The following is a 12,792-nucleotide window of genomic DNA, read 5'->3' on the forward strand; positions in this document are numbered from 1 at the left end:
GAATGATAAATAAACTGAGGTATATCTAGACAATGGAATATTATTTAGCAGTAAAAAGAAATGAGATATCAAGCCATAAAAAGACATGGAAGAAACAAATGCTTATCACTGAGTGAAATAAGCTGATCTAAAAGGCTGCATACTGTATGACACCAACTATATGACATTCTGGAAAAGACACAACTATGGAGACAATAAAAAGATCAGTGGTTGTCAGGGGTTGGGAGAAAGGGAGGTATGAATAGGTGAAACACGGGACTTTTTTAGGGCAGTGAAACAATGCTGTATAATACTGCAATGGTGAATATGTCATTATACATTTGTCAAAATTCATAGAAAGTATAACACCAAGAACGAACACTACTGTAAAGTATGGACTTTGGGTGATAATGATGTGTAATTGTAGGGCCATCAGTTGTAACAAGTGTACCATTATGGTATGGGATGCTGATAGTTGGGGAGATTGTGTTGTGGGGGAACAGGGTATATGGGAACTCTCTGTATTTTCTGCTCAATTTGGCTATAAACCTAAAACTGATCTAAAAACTAAAGGTTATTAATTAAGGACCAAATGAGGGTCGAGTGCGGTGGCTCATGCCTGTAATCTCAACACTTTGGGAGGCTGAGGTGGGTGGATCACGAGGTCAGGAGTTCGAGACCAGCCTGGCCAATATGGTGAAACCCTATCTCTACTAAAAATACAAAAATTAGCTGGGCGTGGTGGCATATGCCTGTAGTCCCAGCTACTCAGGAGGCTGAGGCAGGAGAATTGCTTGAACCCGGGAGGTGGAGGTTGCAGTGAGCCGAGAGCACACCATTGCACTCCAGCCTGGCGACAGAGTGAGACTCCATCTCAAAAAAAAAAAACAAAAAAAAAAAACAAAGTTTATACCAGGAATTTAAAGGTGGTTCAACATCTGAAAATCAATTGATATAATTCATCAATAGAATAGATGAAAAGAAAAAAGAATGCTCTTATTAGGTATAGAAAAAGCATTTGACAAAATTCATCATCCATTCATGATTAAACCAATCAAACAACAAACTCCACAAAAAACTTCTTGGAAACTAAGAATATAAGGTCACTTCCTTAATCTAAGTGGCATCTACAAAAAAAACTACTGCTAATATCATACTTAATGGCGAAAGGCAAGAAAAAGAAATAAAAGGCATACAAATTGTAAAGGAAGAAACAAAATGGTCTCTATTTGCAGACAGCATGATTATCTATGAAGAAATTCCTAAAGAATCTACAATAAAACTGTTGGATTAATACAAGTTTAGCAAGGTCACAGGATACAAGGTTAATTAAAAAGAGTCAATCATATATTCCTGTATAACAGCAATGAAAAATTAGAATTTGAAATTTAAAAGGCAGCACCATTTAAAATAGCTCAACTAACAATTAAGAGCTTAGGTATAAATTTAAGGCATATGTACAGCATCCATATGCTGAAACCTACAAAACATTGATGAAATAAAGAAGATCTAAATAAATGTACAGATAAAGTGTCTATATGGCTTGGAAGGCTCAATATGATTAAGATGTCATTCTTCCACAAACAGCACAATCTCAAGGAAATCTCAGGCACATTTTTAGATACTGACAAATTGATTCAAAATTTATATGGAAGCTGGGCGTGGTGGCTTATACCTATAATCCCAGCACTTTGGGAAGCCAAGGTGGGCAGATCACTTGAGCCCAAGAGTTTGAGACCAGCCTGGGCAGCAACATAGAGAGAGCCTGTCTCTATTTAAAAAATAAATAAATAAATAAATAAATAAATAAATAAATAAATAAATAAATAAATAAAATGGAAAAGGTAATTAAACTACAGGAGCCAATTTTTTTTGGTTTTTGGTTTCTTGGTTTTTTTTGTTGTTGTTGTTCGTTTTTTTTTTTTGAGACAGTCTCCCTCTGTTGCCCAGACGGGAGTGCAGTGGTGCAATCTTGGCTCACTGCAACTTCCGGCTCCCAGGTTCAAGTGATTCTCCTGCCTCAGCCTTCCAAGTAGCTGGGATTACAGGCACCCACCACCACACTTGGGTAATTTTTGTATTTTTAATAGAGAGGGCGTTTCACCATGTTGGCCAGGCTGGTCTCAAACTCCTGCCCTCAAGCGATCCGCCCAGCTTGGCCTCCCAGACTGCTGGGATTACAGGCATGAGCCAATACACCTGGCCCAATTTTTTTTTTTAAATAAAACAACAACAAAAGAACTAAGTTGGAGGACCCACACTACTTTAAGGCTTACTGTAAAGCTATAGTAATCAAGACAGCATGGTATTGTTGAAAGAATAGACACGTATATACATTAAACAGAATAAACGGCCCAAATTAAACTTACACAAATATAGTCAACAGATTTTTTGACAAAAGTTCAAAGGCAATTCAATAGAGAAGGAACAGTTTTTTCAACAAATGGTGCTAGAATGATTCTTCATCCATATGCAAAAAAGGAACCTCAACACATAATTCATACCTTATACAAAAATTATTTCAAAGTGGTTTATAGACCTAAATATAAAATATAAAACTATAAAACGTCTAGGAGAAAGTGTAAGAGACCTTGAGTTTGACTATGAGGTATGTTTGTTTGTTTTTTTGAGATGGAGTTTCGCTCTAGTCACTCAGGCTAGAGTGCAATGGCGTGATCTAGGCTCACTGCAACCTCCGCTTCCCGGGTTAAAGCGATTCTCCTGCCTGAGCCTCCCAAGAGGCTGAGATTACAGGCATGCGCCACCAGGCCCAGCTAATTTTTGTATTTTTAGTAGAGACGGGGTTTCACCATGTTGCCCAGGCTAGTCTCGAACTCCTGACCTCAGGTGATCCACCCTCCTTGGCCTCCCAAAGTGCTGGGATTACAGGCGTGAGCCACCATGTCCGGCCAACTATGAGTATTTAAATATGACACCAAAAGCACAACCCATCAAAGAAAAAAATGAGAAATTGAGTTTTACGAAAATTAAAGACTTTTGTGGGCTGAGCATGGTGGCTCATGTCTGTAATCCCAGCACTTTGGGAGGCTGAGGCGGGTGGATCACGAGGTCAGTAGTTCGAGACCAGCCTGGCCAACATGGTGAAACACCATCTCTACTAAAAATACAAAAATTAGCTGGGCATGGTGGCAGGCGCCTGTAATCCTAGCTACTTGGGAGGCTGAAGCAGGAGAATCACTTGAACCCAGGAAGCAGAGTTTGCAGTGAGCCAAGATTGCGCCATTGCACTCCAGCCTGGGTGAAAGTGCGAGACTGTGTCTCAAAAAAAAAAAAAAAAAGACTTTTGCTTTGTATAAAAATCTGTGAAGAGAATGAAAATACAAGCCATAGACAAGGAGAAAATATTTGCAAATCACATATCCAATAAAGAGTTTGTATCTAGAATATATAAAGAACTCTTTAGCCATAACAATAATAAAACAAATAATTAAACTTAAAACTGTGCAAATGTCTGTCTTCCCCAAAGAAGATGTATGGATGGCAAATAAACATAGGGAAAGATATTCAACATCATTAGTCATGAAGGATATGCAAATTAAAACCACAATGGGATACCACTATGCACCTATTACAATGGCTAAAATAAAGAACTGAATACAAAATATTGGCCTTGATGTGGAGTAACAGAGTCATTCATTGCTGGTGGAAATACAAAATGGTACAGCCACTTTGGAAAAACAAATTTGGCAGTTTCTTATAAAGTTAAGCATATACTTATGTGACCCAGCAATCTCACTTCTAGGTATTTATCCAAGTGAAATGAAAGCTTACATTCATACAAAAACATGTATATGACTAGTTATACATAATTTTCCCAAAATGAGCAATCGAAAATGATAAATTGTGATAATCCATATAATGGAATACTACTCAGCAATAAAAAGGAACAGATTACTGATTCATACAAAAACATGGGTGAATCTTAAAATGCATTTTCCTAAGAAGATCATTATTGGGGCTGGGTGATGGGTACAGGAGGATTGATTATTCTATTTTTGTGTGTGATTGAAAATTTCCATAATAAAAGTTTTAAAAGTGTATTTTAATACGGTATTTTTTAATGATATCACAATGTCCAGGTACTGCACAGATGAGACTGAAGTTCCACGTTCTAAAGCCAGAAGCTGCATCTGAAATGTTGCATAGAAAACTGCTCATTGGCTGGGCGCGGTGGCTCACACCTGTAATCTCAGCACTTTGGGAGACTGAGGCGGGCGGACCACGAGGTCAGGAGATGGAGACCATCCTGGCTAACACAGTGAAACCCCGTCTCTACTTAAAATACAAAAAATTAGCCGGGCGTGGTGGTGGGTGCCTGTAGTCCCAGCTACTCGGGAGGTAGAGGCAGGAGAATGGTGTGAACCCGGGAGGCGGAACTTGCAGTGAGCCGAGATCACGCCACAGCACTCCAGCCTGGGCGACAGAGTGAGACTCCATCTCAAAAAAAAAAAAACAAACAAAAAACTTAGGTGGGCATGGTGGCAGGCACCTGTAATCCCAGCTACTTGGGAGGCTGAGGCACGAAAAATCGCTTGAAACCAGGAGGCAGAGGTTGCAGCGAGCTGAAATTGCACCATTGCACTCCAGCCTGGGCGACAGAGCGAGACTCCATCTCAATTAAAAACAACAACAACAACAACAAACTGCTCATTACATAAAGATCCAATCTGGTAATATAAATTTTATTTTATTAAGATATATACTTAGCACTTTGAATTGCTTCAAACATAATTTGAGGGGAACAAAGACTTATTGGCTTGTTGGTTTTAAGAACTGAATTTGCCTAGGCATTAGAAAAAGTACAGAAAGCTCCCCAGAGCAGTCTAGAGCCCAGCAGTCGCAGGCCCCTAGGCCATTTGAGTTATAGGACAGAAGGTGGGGGTGTCAGTGAACACTATTCCTTCTGAGTGTCTGTCAATGGAGGTTGCATGTGAAACAGGAAAGAGGTTTGCTGAGGCTCTATGTTTATGTTTGCCTTTTCTTCAACTGGAGACTGAAGTTTGAGAATAGCAAGTAAGCACGTAATCATTCTCCTAGATCTCATTACTTGAGATCTTTTTTTTTTTTTTTTTTGAGACAGGGTCTGGCTCTGTTGCCCAGGCTGGAGTGCAATGGGACAATCTCAGCTCACTGCAACCTCTGCCTCCCAGGCTCAAACCATCTTCCCATCTAAGCCTCCCAGGTAGCTGGGACCACAGCCGTGTGCCACCATGGTGGGGTAATTTTTGTATTTTTGGTAGAGACAGGGTTTCGCCATGTCACCCAGGCTGGTCTTGAATTCCTAGCTTCAAGCAATCCTCCTGCCTCAGCCTCCCAGAGTAAAGGCGTGAGCCACTGTGCTTGGCCTGAGATAATTTCTTAAGATGATGTATAATACCTCCCGCAATGATAGCTTCCCCGATGTAACACCTCCTGCAAGTTGTCCTGAGCTATTTTAAGCTGTAATCAGAATATATTGAAGATTCAACATTTTTATTGTCCTTGTCCTGTACCCCCAGCAATAAAAAAAAAAAAAAGACTTAAAAAAATTATGGGGCCTATCGGCTGGGTGTGGTGGCTCATGCCTGTAATTGCAGCACTTTGGGAGGCTGAGGTGGGCGGATCACCTGAGGTCGGGAGTTCAAGACCAGCCTGACCAACATGGAGAAACTCCATCTCTACTAAAAATACAAAATTAGCCAGGTGTGGTGAGCATGCCTGTAATCCCAGCTACTTGGGAGGCTGAGGCAGGAGAATCACTTGAACCCGGGAGGCGGAGGTTGCAGTGAGCCAAGATCAAGCCATTGCACTCCAGCCTGGGCGACAAGAGCAAAACTCCGTCTCAAAAAAAAAATTATGGGGCCGGGCGCGGTGGCTCAGTCCTATAATCCTAGCACTTTGGGAGGTAGAGGTGGGCAGGTTACTGGAGCCCAGGAGTTCAGGACCAGCCTGGGCAACATTGTGAAACCCTGTCTCTACAAAAAAGCTACTCTGGAGGCTGAGGCAGGAGGACTGCTTGAGCCCGAGGTTGAGGCTGCAGTGAGCCGAGATTGTGCCACCGCACTCCAGCCTGGGTGACAGAACAAGACTCCGTCTCAATTAAAAAAAAAAAAAAGGAAATTTCTGAAGTGATAGTAATGTTCTATGTCTCGATAGCAATTTGGGATACAAAGGTATAGGCATTTATTATTATTAAAACTTGGAAATTTACACACAAGCACATAAGATTTATACATTTCATTGTATACATATTTTACTTCAAAAGAAAAAAGTCAACAAATATTTAACCTAGTCAATGATATACATGCTGAGTTATTTAGGCGGAAGTCTACTGATGTCTACAATTTACTTTTAAATGCGCCCAAAAAAAAAAAAAACAGGGATTGACGAATGCTTAGAGAAAGGTACAGACATGTGATAAGCCAACTATAGTGAAATGTTAGTGGTAGTCTACATGGTAGGTATATGCTGTTCACTATAAAATTTTTTCAACTTTGCTCTGTTTGCAAATTTTCACAATAATATATTGGGGAAATGTCTAGAAATGTGATGCTACCCTAGGTCAGCAGGAACTGTGAAAGATTAGACCTGTATTCTGGTTCCCAGATGCTAGAGCCTTTATTTTTTTTGGGGGGGTGGAGGTGGAGTCTCACTCTGTCGCCCAGCCTGGAGTGCAATGGTGTGATCTCGGCTCACTACAACCTCCACCTCCCGGGTTCAAGTGATTCCCCTGCCTCAGCTTCCCAAGTAGCTGGATTACAGGCACCTTCCAGCATGCCCAGCTAAGTTTTTGTATTTTTAGTAGAGACGGGGTTTCACCAGGTTTGTCAGGCCGGTCTCAAACTTGATCCACCCGCCTCGGCCTCCCAAAGTGCTGGGATTACAGGCGTGGGCCACCACGTCCAGCCTGCTAGAGTCTTTTATACTTGATATAATTTCTTGAATTCTGATTTCTTGAGGTTTTGTTTACTTAAATCTAGTTATCTCATCTCCCTTCTACTTTCACTTTCTGGTTTATCTAGTAATTTGTTCATTCATTTTCAAATATTTACCTTTCCCTACTAGGAACCAGGCCCTGTGTAGGTGCTGGGGATACAGTTTTGCTTCTGCTCCCATGGAGCTTCCATCGTGGCTTATTCCCAGTAACCAGCACCTCCAACTCCCTTAATTCTATCAGGAATGCTGTTTCCTACATCTTTGAGGCTACGACAGAGAGGGCCAGTTTATCCATTGAATAGTATAGGCCCCACACCAAGGGTCTGGGAGCTTTTTACAGTTCTATGAAAAATGTTTTATGCATGAAAAAAAGAATCTCCAATTTACAAAAGAAAATCGCAAAATCCTATACATTGCCAAGGCTGTCGAAATGAACTCCTAGTCTTTTTGATTCCCTCTTTTTTTACAGCTCTGAATACCATAGGACTGCCAGCATTTCGGGCCCCAGTAGCAAATCTAGCCCTAATATAGATGCTGTATGGGAATAAGACACTCCAATAGTCAGATGGATGCCTAAGCTATCATAGCCTAATGACATTGCAACTTCATTCTTTGAACTTCTTGTGCTGATCTGTTGTTCAGCAGTCCACCTTCTGATTCCCATGTAGGTCTGCGGAGAGGATGCAGTATTTCTTTGGGTATTTCTAGTCTCTGTAACAGTGCTTTGTCAGGTAAACCCATAAAATAGCTTGTGATTAAGAGCTGTCACACCACATGTCTAGAATTTGAGAAGGAAATCGGCCAATCCGGGTGCAGTAGCTCACGCCTGTAATCCCAGCACTTTCGGAGGCTGAGGCGGGTGGATCACTTGAGGTCAGGAGTTCGAGACCAGCCTGACTAACCTGGTGAAACCCCGTCTCTACTAAAAATAAAAAAAATTAGCTGGGTGTGGTGGTGGGCACCTGTAATCCTAGCTTGGGAGACTGAAGTAGGAGAATTGCTTGAACCTGGGAGGCAGAGGTTACGGTGAGCCGAGATCGCACCACTGCACACCACCTGGGTGACAGTGTGAGACTCCATCTCAAAAAAAAAAAAAAAGGCAATCATGTCAACATTATTATTATTTTTTTGGTCCCTTATGGCCATACATTTCTCAGTGTAAATTAAATTGCTAATTTAAGAGGGACAAGGAATAGTCTTGCACATCTTCTCATCCATACTTTTAGTTTTAAACTTAGTTCTAGTTGATTCAGGCCTTGTGAAGCCTTGTTTTATCTTATTCTCAGCATCTAGGTTCTAACCCCTACTGTTCTCCCATTATTGACTGTCCCTTGCCAGGCCTCTCTTAACAGCTGAACCCTGGGCTTCTGTTTCTCCATCTTTTTTTTTTTTCTTTTGAGACGGAGTCTGGCTCTTATTGCCCAGGCTGGAGTGCAATCGCGTGATCTCGGCTCACTGCAACCTCTGCCCCCTGGGTTCAAGCGATTCTCCTGCCTCAGCCTCCTGAGTACCTGGGATTACAGGCATGTGCCACCACACCTGGCTAATTTTGTACTTTCAGTAGAGATAGGATTTCTCCATGTTGGTCAGGCTGATCTCGAACTCCGGATCTCAGGTGATCTGTCCACCTTGGCCTCCCAAAGTGGGAGGCCACCGTACCCGGCCTGTTTCTCCATCTTTAACTGTGTTGTTTTAGGTCCTCTTGGGTAAAGCCCCGTCAACTCAATCCCCAGGTTTTTTGGGCCATAATGATGCCCCTGAGGTTTGTGCTCCCGGAATGCCCCAGAGCTGGAAACTAGGCAGCTTTTGCACATAAAATTACTTTATTATAAAGGTTTCCCACTAATACATACTAACAAGTATGAGATATTGATTTTAAAAACTTTGTTTTAACCAAAGAAAATAACAGAACAATGCCTTATAAGCCAATATTTAAATAAAACAGAGCATTATGAAATATTTTATTTTTATTTGTTGGTAATTATATCTGGATGGCTCATGAAATTACTGTAACATCCTTGATTTTATTGTTCCCTCAGGAATTTCCTCTCTATTTTAAATAAAATGTGTTTTATGCACTGAGTACATTTAGTATCTCCACTCTGTTAGACAATTACAACACTGTAGATACACAGAGCTATGCAATGTGCCTATTTTAACTATAGATTAGCTTCCTAGGAAGAACAGTGTTGGTATCCTTTGCCATTTAGAGTCAAAAGGAGTCTGATGGCAGTTCTTTACAGTGACTGTTGAGATGACTGAATCTTCCTGAGCCAAGTCTTCACATCTCTATTTTGTTGTTTTAATTTGAATAACTATGAAAAGATTGATTTTTTTTTTTTTTTTTTTTTAGGACAGGGTCTCACTCTGTCACCCAGGCTGGTGTGCAGTGGTGCGATCATGGCTCACCGCAGCCTCCATCTCCCTGGCTCAGGTGATCCTACCATCTTAGCCTCCCAAGTAGCTGGGACTACAGGCTCCCACCACCACCCCCGGCTAATTTTTGTATTTTTTGTTAATCCTCCCACCTTGGCCTCCCAAGGTGTTAGGATTACAGGTGTGAGCCACTGTGCCCAGCCAAAAAAGACTGAAATCTTTTATTTCTGATGGAGACCTCAAAGAGCTCACTGCATAGGACTGACCCCAGGTTGCCTTTATATTTCCTGCATTTTTCTCCTGTTGCTCTTCAGAGAAGCTGTATGATATAAATGAATGAATGAATGTGTGTGTGTGTACACACACATATATCTCCATTCAAAAGCTATAGCACATGCATGTTTGTGTGTATGTGTATATATGTGCATGTATATAAGTATATATGCATACACACATATACACACACACAAAGGTACAGAAAATATATATCTTGTGACTAAAATTCCCTGAACTACCAGTAACTCCAGAAATTCTATTCTGGAAAACAATGGCTAACATCTAATTCATTATCTTAGAATTATCACAAAAGGAATATGAAAATGTGGTTTCTAGTGCAATGCAGTTAAGATAGGTATTCTTGTAGGCCATGGTTCCAAGAAATTTGTTTGACAACTGTACTGAGTAGTATATTTCTCCACTTCCTTTATTTTTTTCCCTTACCTTTTTTGAAAAAAAAAAAATGAAGAAAAATGTGTTCCTCTTTCAAGTTCTTTTTCTCTCCTGGCTTATACAGTATGTTACCAGCAGAACTTTCTCTAAAATGAAAGGAAGTCATTGCTAAGAAGAGACAAAAAGTTAACAGGATTAAGGGAGTAAAAAGGCACATGGAATTTCTGGGTGTGTCCAGAATCTGAGAAGATTTGAAAAGAGGAGCAGAAAGAATTTTTGTATTTTAGAAGTTGAGGGGCCCTCCTGGCCTAGTTTGAAAAACACAATCAGATACAATTTGAAAAAAGTCCAACAAAATCTAGTGGGAAGATAAGCTAGAATCTTGTTACAAAAAGTGTCACGGGCCTTGGTTGTATATTTTAAATGAACTTCTTAATTTCATATCAAAATGCGTAGATACCTCCTGACCCCCATTCTTGCCCTCCTCCATTTCCCTGTTAAATCCTGACCTTTCTCTGTAGACCTTCCCATTTCCACCCTGGAGGTCTGGCTGTCAGGACTACTCTCAGGTTGCCTGGGTCTCCACGGTGGCACCCATTAGCCGTGTTGCTTCTGGGCAGGGCATCTGTTTCTGTGCAAAGAGAAAATGCTAGGGTGAGTCACCAGTCCTTCTCTCCTAACAAAAAAGCATTGTACTGTACAGTTTGATTTCGGCTCTTGTGTGCAACTTGTGATTGCAAACTAATGGGGACATGAGGCACAGCTCCAGTGACACACCTCTCAGGTTGCATTATAATGATCTGATTGGGATGTACCCCATTAGACCGTGAGATCCTTTAAGCCTAGGATGCTTTTATTTTTGTGTTCCCAGCCCTAAGCACACTGTGCCTAGCTCAGGGTAAGCACTAAACAAATGTTTCTTGATGAGAATGCTACAGGAGGAAGGGAAGGGTTGTACTCTACACAAAGAGCGGAAAAGCTACCCTTTAAGAAAGAGACTCATCTTCGCATGGCCTGCAGAGGGCGCTCTTGCATCATAGCTATACCATGCATCCTTTGCCCATCACTGGTTTCCTTGAGCAGTACCTTTTTGGTAAAACCACAGGTGTGAGACTTTGGAAATTTAGACTTAAACCTGCCCAAACACATTAGAATATCATCAGTTGCACAGAACAAATCCACATTACAATTATTCCAAAGGGACAAGAACATTCCAGAATTTGCTTAAAGAATACTAAGCCATGACATCTCAGAAAGTCAAACCTAAAGAAGAAAAATTGCCTGGTTAGTCTTCCGGGAAATGTTAATAATTCTTAAATTTGGAAGGCTCCTTATACTCACTTGATGAGCCAGTTCATCTAATCCAACTACCTCATTTCTCAGATGAGGAAACTGAAGTTTATAAAATTCCTCAAGGTGATGTATCTACAGAAAAATTATACTCTCAATTCAGGCTTTAGATGTGTGTTGAAAACATGGCAAGGTGTCCATTTGGAAAAAATGCACCTAGAGCTTTCTCTCTCTCTCCCTCTCCTTATTTAAATAGAAAGATTTAAAAATAAAAATATGGCCAGGCATGGCATCTCATGCCTGTAATCCCAGCACTTTGGGAGGCCAAAGTGTCAGGAATGCTTGAACCCAGGAGTTCGAGACCAGCCTGGGCAACATAGCGAGACCCAGTTTCTACAAAAAATTAAAAATTAGCCAGGTATAGTGGCATGTGCCTATAGTCCCAGCTACTCAGGAGCCTGAGGCAGGAAGATAGCTTGAGCCTAGGAGGTCAAAGCTTCAGTGAGCTGTGATCACACCACTGGACTCCAGCCTGGGCAACAGAATGAGATCCTGTCAAAAAAAAAAAAAAAAGTACTGTAGTAACTGCTGAATAAAATACATAAGACTGGAAAGACACTATTTTAATGGTGAATCTGGACAGCACTCCAAGGGTACATTTTAACAGGTTGGAAGTAGGCTTTTAACATATTATGGGGGGGATCAACTGAGTAATAAATAACACAGAATTAAAAAGTGTTGGTTAGCCAAACTGACCATCAAATTGAGAGCCAAAAAGCCATTAAGTTATGATTCTGGACAAGGCTCTGATTGCCACAGTTCAGAAAAGTTATTTGACATCTTTTTCACATTGTTAAGCTTAAAAAACAAACCCAAACTCAAATCCCCAAACCCTCAAAGCATCAAGTGCTTGAAGCATTTCTAATATACCTTCCGCATCAACCCTCACCTCCTTCTTGTTTCAGAGAAACCATGATCCTCCTCCAGGCTGGTTCTTAATCAGCACCCCCTCCCTTCCCTGGGTGCCTCCCATTTGTAGGCAGCCATTATTGGGCTGTATTCTGGTTGTGTTGAGGCTGGCAGGAAAGAGGAACAAGGATAGCATGTTCATGTGGTGTGAGTGGTCTCAGCTTCTAGGCATGCTGGGGGAAAGGGCAGTCCTGTGGCCCTGTGAGAGGCCCACTCAGACCCTGGCCAGCTCTAAGGGCTAAAGCAGCTCTGAGGTGTAGCACTTCACTTCCATCGGTTTTAGAGGCCCTACCTGGGGAGAAAAACGGCAGAAAAGCAGCCCTCAAAGAAATGCTACCATGGGATATGGCCTCAAGAGAGGAGCCTCAGCCTGAGATGAGTTGGGGGGTGGCCTTGAAGAAAAGAGGCCCTGGCTTCAGGGGCGTGGGGGAAGACAGATAAGGTGTTGGAAGGAAGCCACTCAGGATTCTTTGGAAAGCGAGGACAGTGAAGTTGGAGATTAAGGACCCGTAAACAGGGCAAATTACAGGAATTCTCCCCAGCCAACGGGAAGGGAAGGGCAGGGCCTGAGCA

General features: G+C 41.5%; 2 annotated features.

Moving 5' to 3' along the window:
* Positions 6,742 to 6,934: a silencer, noted in NCBI's record as "fragment chr13:50546741-50546933 (GRCh37/hg19 assembly coordinates)". NCBI's record gives its function as "represses an EF-1alpha promoter that drives an FKBP-Casp9 reporter gene in an ReSE screen in K562 erythroleukemia cells {active_cell/tissue: K562}" and the evidence as "EXISTENCE:reporter gene assay evidence [ECO:0000049][PMID:32094911]".
* Positions 10,830 to 11,124: a silencer, noted in NCBI's record as "tiled region #13323; HepG2 Repressive DNase unmatched - State 1:Tss". NCBI's record gives its function as "represses a minimal TATA promoter and a strong SV40 promoter by Sharpr-MPRA in HepG2 cells {active_cell/tissue: HepG2}" and the evidence as "EXISTENCE:reporter gene assay evidence [ECO:0000049][PMID:27701403]".

The sequence above is a fragment of the Homo sapiens genome, chromosome 13 (genome assembly GCF_000001405.40).
Source record: "Homo sapiens chromosome 13, GRCh38.p14 Primary Assembly".
In the NCBI taxonomy this organism is placed as follows: Eukaryota; Metazoa; Chordata; class Mammalia; order Primates; family Hominidae; genus Homo; species Homo sapiens.